Consider the following 14243-nt stretch of genomic DNA (forward strand, 5'->3'; position numbering starts at 1 on the left):
AAGAGCAAAGAAGGGAGAGGTAAGCAGCTTCTAAACAAGTCAAACCAACAGACGAGGAAGGAGTGCAGCCTAGTGGTGGCACAAATCCGCCCCCACATACCTAGTATGTGAGGCATGCGCCCCACTCAGAACCAGGAAAGGCCTCACCTTCTTCCTCCATGACAACTGTCCGTCTTTCTCTCTATCACAACTCGCAATGACAAAGTATAAAAACTGTAACTCGCTTTCTATTCCAGCCAGAGGCCACTGAAATTCCCACAACTGTCTGAAACACAGACAGCTTTAAAGGAGCCAGGATTTTAAAAATGCCTTCCCACCCCCGATTAATAAAGAAACCTGAATTCTGTCCCTAAATACCAATGCTAGAAAGATGGCTTGAAGAATAAGAGTAGGGATTTTAATGATCTAAGAGCAGTGGTTCAAACCATAGATCCAAAACAGGATAGCCTGGGTGGCTTTTGGTTTGTTTATCTCCAAAATCCATGTGTTCCAGACTTATCTACTAAATCAAGATCTCAGGGAGTGGAGCTGGCCACCTGTACTTTGGAAAAGAGTCTCAGGTAATTCTGAGGTGCATCCCTGGTTAGGGATTACCATGTCAGAGCATCCAAAGAAAAGATCCTGCGTCCTTACAGAAAAGCAACCACTTGAAGCTGTCACTGCCTGTTTTCCTTCCCGGCTGGGAGCTTCACAGGTGAGTGCCTGGAGCTAGACAGGCCAGCAGTGTAGTATGCCCTGGAGTACACAGGGCCTGCATTCAAATACCAGTGACCGTGGGCAACACAGCATCTGTCTAAGCCCCTGTGTCCTCACCTGTAAAATGAGTGACAGCATCTACTTCACAGAACTCTTAGAAGGCTTAAGTATATGGCAACTACAAATATCCATTTATTTCTAAATGTTCCCATGAAACCAAAGTTGTGCTGGTTAAATCAGCTTTCAAAAAAAACACCCTGATGAGGAGAAATGTGCACAGCTGAGAGCCGATATGAGTCAGCTCCAGGACACCAGGACATGAACTGTAAGAACAGGCCACTTTTGCTTCAGTGTAATGTAGGGGGACAAAGGAGAACACTCCTTGCACAGTGGAGCCACCTGTGGTGCAGAGAAACTACCATCCACTGCTCCTGGGATCCTGCATCTTAGCTGCCATAGATAAAATATGCTGGGAGGTGAACGCCATCGTCCTAACTACATAGTCATTGCCACGGGGGAAGCTCCCTGGGTGCAGGGTGGAAACGTGGACTAGTGTCCTCCCTACAGCAGATGGTGCTTAGACCTCCAGACAACTCTGGTAACCCTGCTCTTCTGAACCCTACAATCAGCCTTTCTCCATCTATGAAAACAAGGCTGAATGATGCCCTAGCTAGCTACCTTCCACATTCATTCTGCAAGTGTGTAGTGAGTGCCAACCACATTTCAGACACATGAGTGGATGCTGGGCAGACAATGGAGAGCTAAATAGACAGAGCCCTTCACTCAGAGGGCCAATGACGTGATTGGAGAGATAGACAATAAACAAGGAAACAAATAAGCAAGTAAACTATTTAAAATAGTGCTCAGAACTCTGTTTGAGATATTATGGGAATAATAAAGAAAAGGGACTACCTACTTGGATAGAGTGACATCAGGTGACCAGGACCCAGAGGCCAGAGGCAATGGGGTAGGCAGGGTTCTCAGGGGGCCCTCAAGGTTGTACCCCTGGTGTACACCCCCTGTGTGATGCTGTCCCTTGGTCTGAGGAGAACCTCCATTGTGCTTCTCAACCACAGAATACGGCAAAGGTGAAGGGACTCTGGAGACGCAATAGCAGTCCCAAATCTGTGGACTTTGAGGTTATGAAAAGGAAGATTATCCTGTGTGGGCCTGTCTTATTCAGGTGAGCCCCCTGAAAGAAGTTCCAGGCCAGGCATGGTGGCTCACGCCTGTAATCCTTGCACTTTGGGAGGCCGAGGCGGGTAGATCACCTGAGGTCAGGAGTTCAAGACCAGCCAGGCCAACACAGTGAAACCCCATCTCTACTAAGAATACAAAAATTAGCTCAGCATGGTGGCACGTAATCCCAGCTACTCGGGAGGCTAAGGCAGGAGAATCGCTTGAACCCAGGAAGCGGAGGTTGCAGTGAGCCAAGATGGCATCACTGCACTCCAGCCCGTGCAACAGAGTGAGACTCTGTCTCACCCCAAAAAAAAAAGAAATAAGAAGTCCCAGGCCCTTCCTGAAGCGGGAGAATGAAAGCAAGAGAGACACACTCTAGCTGGCCTTGAAGTCAACAGCCATGCTGTGCACTGCTATGGAGAAGGAGTAGCCTCTGGAACCTGATAGTCTCAGCCCTTCAAATAACCACAAGGAACCTCAGACAGGAACACAGCCCAGATGACACTCTCAATGCAGCCTGTGAGTCCCTGAGCCCAGCCAAGCCCTGCCTGGACTCCTATCCCACGGACATTGAGAAGAGAAATACATGCCATCTTCACCCACTCAATTTGTGGTCATTTGCTACACAGAATAGAAAACTCATACTGAGGGGAAGGAGGTAGCCATGTGAAGAGCAAGTCGAAGGGCTTGCCAACAATGAAAACCAGGTATAAAAGAGGAAAAGGCCAGAATGTTCTAGAAATTAGCAGAAAGTCATCATAGCTGGAAAGAGGAGGTTCCGAAAGGCAGGGGGTGGGGCGGGGGGGTCAGGCTGAGGCTAGAATGGCGGCCAGCAGCCAGGTTATTTTGCTGGCTCTGTGGAGAGCAGACTAAGGAAGGGGAAGGCTGGAATTGAGGAGACCCACCCTGGGGCCCATTCAGAAATGGAGGCTTAGTTAATGCAGGGCAACAGGAAAGTACAGAAGAACTGGTTCCATAGAGTGGGCCCTGCAGACAGCCTGGACTCGGGGATTGAGAGAGAAAGGTGGAATCAAGATGAGCATCTGGAGGAACGAGGGTGCCATTTGCCAAGTCTGGGGAACAAACCCAAGAACTTCATCTTAGGCATGTCGCACTTGAGAAGCCCATGGAGATGTCGAGTACTGAGCTGGCTACCTGATCTGGAACTCAGAAGAGTTGTTTAGGCTGAAGATGTAAACATGGGCATGATCCACACACAGCCCTAATCCCACTTCAAGAAACTCTCTCTGTTCAGTCCCTAGGGCACTCTGCATTTATCCCATCCTGATTCCCATAGCTGTAGCCTCACTCCTACTCCCTTCTGTACTGTAAGCGGTCTGAGGGCAGGCATTGTTCCACATCTCTTTTTAGCCTTATAAAGTGTAGTACATAGCAGATGCTCAGTAAATATCTCCTAAATTGAACTGCCACATCAGTGATACAATTTTCAATATAAACTACTGTATATGTGTATATCTATAGATATGTGTATTGGGTGTATGTCTGTGTATTATCACTATAAAGTATTTGCATGATGAAATGATATTTTAAATGGAATAGAGGAAAAATAGTGCTTCCTACTTCCTTTTCTAGCAATGATACAATCTTAAAGGTAGATTAATATCTAACTTTCCCATCGAAGTTCCTCAAGAACTGCAGGTGTTTTGTGAAATATTTTTATTTTTTGTTTGCTTTAGTTTGGCTCTAGTATTGTTCCCAGTTTCTTTTTCTCTCCCCGTCTTCCTCAGTATTTGTTCCACTTTGGAGAAATATAAGCTGATAAATTTTTTGATCATCTGAACACACTTCATCCTTGCAATTATACACATACATATTATATGATCTTTTGTCGTTTAATATTCTACTAAGAAAGGTAATATTAGAAAATGTGCAAAAGAGGAAACATTTTTTCCATTCAGAAAAGATTTACAAGAAATACTAAGGTACAAAACACAATTTCAAGTGAAAAAATAAACAGAAGTTTTCCTATTTTAAGACCTTCTCAAATACATCTACTTTAGATGTTTTGCACTAGTGTAAACACATTTTAACACTTAAATTTCTGATGTACTCAGGTGAAAGAGAATCAGTGTCATAATTAAAGTTTGTTTTCATTAAAGCGATTTTAATGTAAACAGTTCTTGCCTTTTTAAAAAATTACTTACATTGCAGTTCTGTGATACAAAAAAATCAGAAACATGTATTTGACAATGAAGAAATGATTAAGTCACTTATGATACATCCAATAAGATCATCATGAAAGTCATTAAAAGTCATGATTTTGAAGAATACTTTAAAACTTAGGAAAGGTCTATGATATATAAAGTGAAAAGTGTACAAACCTACAAAACATAATTCGAATGTTGTAAAACTATGTATATATGAGGTTCTACACTTACAGAAATGCATACAAGAAAACTGAAGCAGTGGACAAGAAGGCTGCTGGAGCTGGCAAGGTCACCAAGTCTGCCCAGAAAGCTCTGAAGGCTAAATGAATATTATCCCTAATACCTGCCAACCTACTCTTAATCAGTGGTGGAAGAATGGTCTCAGAACTGCTTGTTTCAATTGGCCATTTAAGTTTAGTAGTAAAAGACTGGTTAATGATACCAATGCATCGTAAAACCTTCAGAAGGAAAGGAGAATGTTTTGTGGACCACTTTGGTTTTCTTTTTTGTGTGTGGCAGTTTTAAGTTATTAGTTTTTAAAATCAGTACTTTTTAATGGGAACAACTTGACCAAAAATTTGTCACAGAATTTTGAGACCCATTAAAAAAGTTTCATGAGAAAAAAAAAAAAGAAAACAAATTATAAGAAAGTAGTAGCAGTGGTTATTTTGGTGTTAGAATTATAGGTAATTTTAATTTTGCTACACATTTCTCCCCAAATGTTATTAAGTGGACAAATATTATGTTTATTAAAAAGGAAAGCAAATATTTCTTTAAAAAATGGCCCACTTTAGGCCACTGGTTTCTTAACCTTACCCGACCCTTCTCTTTCTTGTGTTCTTGATGAATAGCTTGAACTCGAGCTGTCCATTTGCTTTCCTACAAAAGAATAAAAGAATAATTTATGTACAACTGTAACAATGAGATCTATGCAATATGGGAGCTTCCTTTTTAGTGAATACCTATGAAACCCAACTATCTATCTGGTAAAATTTTAGCTAGTGAAACAGTTTGGCTCTCGGTCCCCACTCAAATCTCATGTGTTGAAGGAAGGGCCTGGTGGGAGATGATTGAATCATGGGGGTGGACTTCCCCCTTGCTGTTCTCATGATAGTGAGTTCTCACAAGATCTGGTTGTTTAGAAGTGTGTAGCACTTCCCTCTTCACTCTTTCCTGCTCCATCATCTTAAGACGTGCTTGGTTCCCCTTTGTCCTTCTGCCAATGATTATAAGTTTCCTGAGGCCTCTCCAGCCATGCCTCCTGTACAGCCTATGGAACTGTGAGTCAATTAAACCTCTTTTCTTTATAAATTACCCAGTCTTAGGTAATTCTTTACAGTAGTATTAGAACAGACTAATACAGCTGGTATTTTTTAGAATATACACAGTCAAAAATGCTTAAATACATTTGCATCTGGTTTTAATCTTTTACCATAAGGCAGGGGTCAGGAAAAATTTTTTAGTAAGGAGCTAACAGTAAATATCATAGGCTCTGGGGGCCAGACAACTTGGTCACAACACAACACAATACAGCTGTGTCATTCCACAACTGTATTGGGACAACAGCCATGGATAAGATGTAAATGAACTAGCACTCATAAAATGTTACTGGGACATAGCCAGTAACACTTTATTTGCAAAAGGAGGTGCTAGTTTGCCAACCTAAGAGGCCAAAAGGAAACACCAAGGTTTCTGAGGCCATGGGTTCTGAACTGACAACACAACTCACAGGACAGAAACAGAAGAAATTTAGGTGGGACCTTAGGATTTTAGAGCCACATCCTTCAGTTCATGAGCGACCAGCTGTAGTCTACAGCCTGCTGGAAGCAACTGTCAACAGTTCAGTTCAGGACACAGCTCCTGGTTTCCTACCATATACCAGGCACCTCACTGGATGGCCACTGGCAGGCTAAAAGAAGATAAAAAGACAGGCCCTGCTCTGCACGGGAGGCGAGTAGACACAGCCATGGAGAATCCACATATAATGTGTATGTCATCAGATCCCACTTAGGGACTACAGAAATGCTATAGCCTAGAGGCTCAGGAGAACTTTCTGAAAGCGGTACCTGCCCCCCTGGCTGAATACTAAAGAATGAGTAAAAGACAGGTCCCGAAAACTGGGAGCTGCAGGACAGGCAGGAAAGCAGCCAGAACCGAGGAAAAAGACAGAAGGGCATGTTCTGAGAGGCATGGGCTGCTGGGCCGCTGGAGTGCCAGGAAAGCAAAGAACAGAGAAAGATGGCCCAGGGCCCAGAATCCGAAGGACCCTGCGTGCTGGTAGGAAGTCCGGAATAAGGGTCACTGAAGGACTTCAGACAGGACAGGGACATGGTCAGCCTGACTGCAGTGGAGCAGGTAGATTTGGGTCAGGGAGGAAACATGTGAGCACTGAAGCAAGAAGCAGTGGTCCCTGTTTCCAAAGTCTACTTACCTTTTTTAGAATGACCCAGGCTTTTAAAAAAGAATCCTGAATTCATAAGCTCTCATCTCTATTTGCTTCCTAGTTTAAAAAAATTGTTCCCCTAAACCGCTGTCACTTCCAAATGAAAGTGATTATGTTTGATAAATGTAACAGATCATCAGCTGACCAGTTAGCAGTGTGTGTGTGTGTGTGTGTGTGTGTGTGTGTGTGTGTGTGTGTGTGTGTATTTATTTATTTATTTTTTGAGACTGAGTATCACTCTTGTTGCCCAGACTGGAGTGCAATGGCGTGATCTCAGCTCACTGCAACCTCTGCCTCTTGGGTTCAAGCAATTCTCCTGCCTCAGCCCTCCGAGAAGCTGGGATTACAGGCATCTGCTACCACGCCCAGTTAATTGAGCCGAGGTGGGCGGATCACCTGAGGTCAGGAGTTCAAGATCAGCCTGGCCAATATGGTGAAACCCCGTTTCTACTAAAAATACAGTTAGCAGTATATTTAAACTCTAAAATTAAATCTGGTGCTTCAATATGCCCTTCTACACCTTTTGAAATTGAGAGCTACATCTGAAAGATGAAAAATGAATAGCTAGGTTATACTAACCAATTCAAATTGACTTTATGGAGAGAAGAAACAAAACAGTTCTGCCAACTGTTGTGTATGCTATTTGCCAACAGCAAGCATGTAACAAACACCTCTTATGATTTAGGCATGCTGTAGGAGAAAAATAACAGCTAGTCACCTTCAGGGTTACTAAAAAAGACAAACACTTTTTCTGCAGATGACACTCACTGTAAATTACTTCACTAAGAAAAAGGAAGGCATCCACTGCAGCTGTCACCCACTTGCACGTACCTGACTATCAAGAAGCTGCATGACATTATGGAAATCCTGGGGATATGGAGAACGGTCTTCTTTAAACTCGTGTGCATCTTTTAATGTGCCTATGTTGGACTTGATCTGCATATTGGACTTCTGGATTTCTGACAGTTGCTATAAGATAAAATTCAAGCTCAGTACTACAGTTAGACTTTCATAAGATGGAAACAGAGAATAAAATCAGGGAGCACATAGCTGTGTTTTAAATCTGACTGCCCTCTTGGACGCTCCTGGACGCTCTTGGACGCTTCTCCTGCTTCTGCTTCCCTGTGGTTTTACTGGTTTGTTTCTACTGCTTGCTGGTCTTCCTATCAGAATATGTACAGGGTGAAAAAAGGGGAAGGAAAATCTAACTTTCTAATCTTAAACGAGTCTAATTTTTTTTTTTTTTTTGGAGACAGGGTCTCATTCTGTTGCCCAGGCTAGAGTGCAGTGATATGATCATGGCTCACTGCAGCCTCAACCCCCTGGGTTCAAGCAATCCTTCCACCTCAGCCTCCTAGGTAGCTGGGACTACAGGCGTGCACCACCACACCCAGATAATTTTTGTATTTTTTTTGTAGAGACAGGGTTTTGCCATGTTGCCCAGGCTGGTCTCAAACTCCTGGGCTCACACAACAATCTGCCTACCTCAGCCTCCCAAAGTGCTGGGATTACAGGTGTGAGCCACCAGGCCCAGCTGGGGCTTAAAATTTTTTATGGGCACTTAATAGGTACCAGAAACAGAAGAACTGAATGCACCTGGTTCTTAAGCTAGTTTAGTGAGAGGCCAACACTGTCCAGGGACCACATCAGTAAATCCACTGGGGACATAACGTTTTTAATTTTACCCTTTTCTTTTCATATTATTCCCAATGTTACTCATGGCAAAAACCCTCAGAAAACCACAGAAGGTAACACATTAACTTCAAAAACAAAAGTATGGGGGAGCGCACGTCTCCTCTCCTCAGTGTAGGCTGCTCATAGTGACTTCATTTCAGAAAGGACAGCAGGGAAAGGAGGAAAAAAGAGAAAATCTTCAGTGGAGAAACCTGACAAACACTACCACAGCCAGGTAGCCAAGGTCAATAGCAACAGTTATAAGTCATGCAGATTCGTAACACAAAGTCTCAGACAAAACATTCAACTCTACTGCTCCCACACAAAAATGCCACAGACAGAGCGTAAATTACCAAACATGGCTGTGTTTCAATAAAACTTCACTCATGACACTGAAATGTGAACTTTAATGAAATTTTCCTGTGTCACAAAATAGTCTTCTTTTTTTCCAATGTTTTAAAAATTTAAAAACTGGCTGGGCACAGTGGCCCACAAATGTAATCCCAGCACTTTGGGAGGCCCAAGTGGGAGGATCACTTGAGGCCAGGAGTTCGACACCATCCTGGCCAACATGGTGAAACCGTCTCTACTAAAAATACAAAAATTAGCTGGGTGTGGTGGCATGTGCCTGTAACGCCAGCTACTCAGGAGGCTGAAGCACGAGAATCACTTGAACCCAGGAGGCAGAGGTTGCAGTGAGCTGAGATTGTGCCACTACACTCCAGACTGGGCAACAGAGAGAGACTCTGTCTTGAAAAAAATAAAAAGTAAAAATGTAAAAACTATTCTTATGTCAGAGGCCATTCAAAAACAGGTGGTATGCTGGACTTGGTTCATGGGCCATTCGCCAAATCTCACGCTAGAGTTTAAAGAGTTTTAGGAAAGCCCTCAGGTGAATTCCAAAAATCTCTATTTTCGTTTATAAAACTTGTTGGCCCCTAGAGGGAGCTCAAGGACCTTCGCTCAGCTCCCTTCCTTTCTCCGTTTTCCCCAAAGAAGACTCAGGTCAAGTCTAACCAGGGAGCTTAGAATTCTTAGAAGGACACTGATTGATTGGCTGCTTTCTAAAGAAGCAGCTCAGGTATCATCTATGCATGAGGCTGGGGCTGTATGGACCAGGGCTGTTCCCACAAGGGAGAGGGGCTCACTTAGCCATAACTTGCTTGCTTTAGAGACCCCACCTGGGCCTGGGTTGAGGAGGGAGCCTGGCAAAGGTTCTTAGCCTTTCTGGGTCTGCTTCTTTCCCTTCCCACTGGACAATGGAAAGTTCCAAAACTCAGGGAGGAGTTTACAGTTCAAGGCTAACCTAACCAGATAAGAAAAGAGGGACCATCATAGAAGAGGGTCTTCTATATCTCACCACGAGTGTTCTGCACTGAAGTTTAAGGCCAAAGCTCCCATTCTCAGCAAAACATCTCTGACTCACTCTGTCTCCTCTATGCCTCCCTCAAGACTCTCAGGGAGAAGAATGTCTGCACGAGGGTAACATAAAGTAACTGCTGGATCCCCTGGCCTTAATGCCATCCTAACACCACCTCTCAAGGCAATCAATACCATAAGAACTTCTAGGTTTAATACTTACATATTCTAATGCTGAATTCTTCGAAGTTAATTCTTTAAATTCCTTCATAAACATCTCCTTGACTTTTTCCATTTCATCAACTAGTTTCTCCTTTTCTTCTTCTTTCCACCTGTCAAATAACTTCAAAAAGTCTTCCTCTTTTGTTTTCTGCATTTCATATTCCTGAAATTATTTTAATACACATCTTTAAAAGTTCTGGTCTGAAGAAAATAAGCAATATTTAAAATAAAAGTTCATAGCATCACTTCAAAAATGTTAGCTAGTATTGCTTATTTCAGTGAGGCTTGTAACAACATTTCCTATCATGGCAGGTCTGTGCACAATGATTTTTCTAAACTAAAGGCAGCACACAGAATCCTCTTGTCCTTACATCCCTTAAAATACCAACACAGACGCCCAAAGCCTCCAGCTTTTTGTGTTCTATGAACTTGTATAAAAGTCATGCCATAATATATAAAATGTAAATATACTTTAAAGAAAACATATATTGAGCAATAAAAGAACATTTGTTGGCACCATAACAATTTGGATAGTGTAACTTCATCCCACCCCCAGAAAATACAAATTCAGATTTACAGGAGCTAAATTCAAGGTCAGCACTTGATTTCTCAATGACCTTCAGGGTTTTTAAAATCTAAATTGAGAACTTGAACGACACTATATGCCAACTAGCCCTAACACACATATACAGAACTCTGTACCCAACAATAGCAGAATATACATTCTTCTCAAGTGCACATGGAATATTTACCAGGAAGACCTTTTTTTAAGTCCATAAAGTGTTTCTCAGATTTAAAAAGATCAAAATCATGCAAAGATTCTTCTCTGATCACAATAGAATTAAGCCAGAAATCAGTAACAGAAGGGAACTGGAAAAGTAGCAAATACGTGGAAAGTAAACAACGTGCTCTTAAACAACCAATGGGTTAAGGAAAAACTCACTAGGGAAATTGGAAGATACTGTGAGGTTAATGAAAATGAAAACACAACATACCAAGATTCATGAGATGCAGCCAAATCAGTGCTCAGAAATAAATTTACAGCTGTAAGAGCCTACATTTAAAAAGAAGAAAGGTCCAGGTGTGATGGCTATGCCTGTAGTCCCAACAGTTTGGGAGGCCACGGTGGAACGATCACTTGATCTCAGGAGTTTGAGACCATCCTGGGAAACATTGTGAGACCTCATCTCTACCAAAAATTAAAAAAAAAAAAAAATTAGCCAGGTATGGTGGTACGTGCCTGTAATCCCAGCTACTTAGGAGGCTGAGGTGGGAGGACCACTTGGACCTGGGAGGTCAAGGCTGCAGTGAGCTGTGATTGTGCCACTGCACTCCAGCCTGGGCAACAGAGAGAGAGTCTATCTCCAAAAAACAAATATAGAAGAAGAAGAAAAATCTTAAATAAATAACCTAGCTAGAAAAAGATGAACAAACCAAACTCAAAGGCAGCAGAAAGAAAAAAATTATGAAAATTAGAGCAAAGATAAAGCAAAGAACAGGAAAGCAACAGAGAGAATAGATGAAGCCAAAATTTGGTTCTTTACAAAGATCAACAAAACTGACAAACCTTCAGCCACCCCAAATAAGAAATGAAAGTGAGGACATGACTACCAATCTTGGAGAAATTAAAAGGATTGTAAGAGAATATAATGAACAATTGTACAGCAACAAATTGGATAATCTAGGTGAAATAGACAAATTCCTACACAAATGACCAGACTGACCCAATACAAAGGAAATTTCAATAGACTTTCAATAAATAAAGGGATAGAGTTAGTAATCAACAACCTCCTAAAAAGGAAAAGTCCCAGACCAGATGGCTTTACTGGTGAATTCTACCAACTATTTTAAAAAAATAACATAGAATCCATAAGAAACGACTAAAGTAATAAACAAATTCAGCAAAGTTGCACAGTACAAGGTCAACATGCAAAAAGCAGCTATATTTCTATATACCAGCAATGAACAATCCAAGAAAGAAATTAAGAAAACAATTCCATTTATAATAGCATCCCAAAGAATAAAATACCTAGAAATAAATGTAACCTAAAAGGTGAAAAAGACTTGTACACTGAAAATTTTTGTTGTAAAAATTGAAGAACACTTAAATAAATGGAAAGACATCCCATGTTCATGGATTGGTAGATTTAATATGGTTAAAATGGCAATACTCTCCTAAGCAATCAAGAGATTCAATGTAATCCCATTCCAATAACCTTCTTTGCAGAAATGGAAAAGCCAATCCTCAATTTCATATGCAACTGTAAGAGGCCACAAATAACCAAAACAATATTGAAAAAGAAAAACAAAGTTGGAAGATGCACACTTATCTATTTCAAAGCCTACTACAAAGCTACAGTAATCAAAGTTGTGTGATATTGGCATAAAGACAGACATACAGACTAGGGGAATGGAATTGAGAATCCAGAGATAAACCCAAACATCTATGGTCAACTGATCTTCAACAAGGATGTTAGGAACATTCAATGAAAAAAGAATAGTCTCTTGAAAAATTGGCACTGGGACAACTGGATAAACCACATGCAAAAGTATAAAGTTGGGCCCCTCTCTCAATCTACATGCAAAAATTAACTCAAAATAGACCAATGACCTAATAGAGCTAAAGTGATGAAACTATTAGTGTATATAAATAACTCATACAGCTCAACAAGAAAAAGGCAAACAACCCAATTAAAAAATGGGCAAAGGATTTGAATAGACATTTCTCCAACTAAGATATATACAAATGGAAAATAAACATGAAGAGATGTTCAATATCATTGGTTGTTAAGGAAATACAAATCAAACTCCGATGAGATACCACTTCCCACCCACCCAATAGGATGGCTTTAATTAAGAAAACAGAAAAGTATAACAAGTATTGGTGAGGATGTGGAGAAATAAGAACATTACTGGTGAAAATGTAAAATGGTACAGCTACTGTGGAAGACAGTTTGGTGGTTCCTGAGAAAGTTAAACATAAAATTACCATATGACTCAGCAATTCCATTCCTAAGTATATAATCAAGAAAAATGAAAACATATGTCCACATAGAAACTGCCACATGAATGTTTATAGTAGCATTATTCATTAGAGCCAAAAGGTGAAAATGAATCAAATGTCATTCAATGGATGACTGGATAAACAAATTGTCTATGCATACCTACATACAATGGAATATTAGCAAGACCGACAAAGTACTGATACATGTTACAACTTAGATGAACCTCAAGAACATCATGCTAAGTGAAAAAAGCCAGACACAAAAGGTCACACATTACTTTTTTTTTTTCAGATGGGGTCTCATTCTGTAGCCAAATGGGGTGCAGCGGTGTGAACACAGCTCACTGCAGCCTTGACCTCCTGGACTCAAGCCATCTTCCTCCCTCCTCAGCCTCCTGAGTAGCTGGGACCACAAGCGCATGCCACCACACTTAGCTAATTTTTTAATTTTTTGTAGAGACAGGGTCTCACCATGTTGCGCAGACTGGTCTTGAACTCCTGGGCTCGAGCAATCCTCCCATCTTGGCCTCCCAAAATACTGGGATTACAGTTGTGAGCCACCACACGTGGTGTACATATTTTTTTTTAAAAGATATATACTGAATAGGAAAATTCATAGACATAAAAAGATTCGTGGTTACCAGGAGATGAGGGTAGTAGGAGTGATTATTTAATGGGTATGGGTTATTTTTCTGGGGTGTTGAAAGTTTTGAAACTAGAGAGATGGTAGTTGCACAATATTGTGAATACACTAAACGCTACTGGATTGTACACTGTAAAATGACTGTCTAAAAGAGATGTTGGTATACCCTTGTTCATAGCAGCATCAGTCATAATAGTTAAGAAGTGGAAGCAACCCAAGTGTCCAATAACAGATGAATAAGCAAAATGTGGTATACATACATATACCATGAACTATCATTCAGCCTGAAAAAGGAAGGAAATTCTGGCACACACTACAACATAGATAAACTTTGAGGACATTATGCTGAGTAAAATAAGCCAATGATGACAAAAAGACAAATACTCTATGCTTCCATTCATATGAGGTATCTAGAGCAGGCAAAATCACAGAGAGGGAAAGTAGCTGGAAGGAGGGGGGAGTGGAGCACTGTTTAATGGGTAGAGTTTCAGTTTTTCAATACAAAACAGTTCTGGAGATTGGCTGTATAACAATGTGAATATACTCAACACTACCGAACTGTACACTTAAAAATAGTTAAAATCATAAATTTTACATTATAGGTATATTACAATTTAAAAAGAAAGAGAAAGAGTGAGCCCATGTGGAAGACAGAAGCCTCTGTCAATGATTCTGTGAAATGACTGCTGTTATCCCTAGAAAGTCACACTTGCTGTCCCCATGGGGGAAACAAGGAAGAGCCAAGCACACTGTCACTCCAACAGTCACAAGGAAATAAATGCTCTTTGATGGCCTTACTCTCTCCATTAGGTACACCAAGGTCAACCCTCTGTTGGATAAACAATGGCATAC

The 14243-nt window shown here is 41.2% G+C and overlaps 1 protein-coding gene across 28 annotated transcripts in view; it reads right to left on the reverse strand.

Moving 5' to 3' along the window:
• The window catches only part of DZIP1 (DAZ interacting zinc finger protein 1), a 66505-nt gene that overhangs the window by 36821 nt on the left and 15441 nt on the right, over positions 1 to 14243 (reverse strand). For all 28 annotated transcript variants that reach the window (XR_007063670.1, XR_007063669.1, XR_007063668.1 and 25 more), the window contains 3 exons: positions 9746 to 9907; positions 7321 to 7458; positions 4863 to 4925 (listed from right to left, as the gene is read on the reverse strand). Coding sequence is in view for 25 of the 28 variants with exons in the window: in NM_014934.5 (NP_055749.1) it covers positions 4863 to 4925; positions 7321 to 7458; positions 9746 to 9907 (363 nt within the window). In the remaining 3 variants the exon portion in view is untranslated. The remainder of the gene's footprint in view (positions 1 to 4862; positions 4926 to 7320; positions 7459 to 9745; positions 9908 to 14243) is intronic.

Source organism: Homo sapiens, chromosome 13, assembly GCF_000001405.40.
Source record: "Homo sapiens chromosome 13, GRCh38.p14 Primary Assembly".
In the NCBI taxonomy this organism is placed as follows: Eukaryota; Metazoa; Chordata; class Mammalia; order Primates; family Hominidae; genus Homo; species Homo sapiens.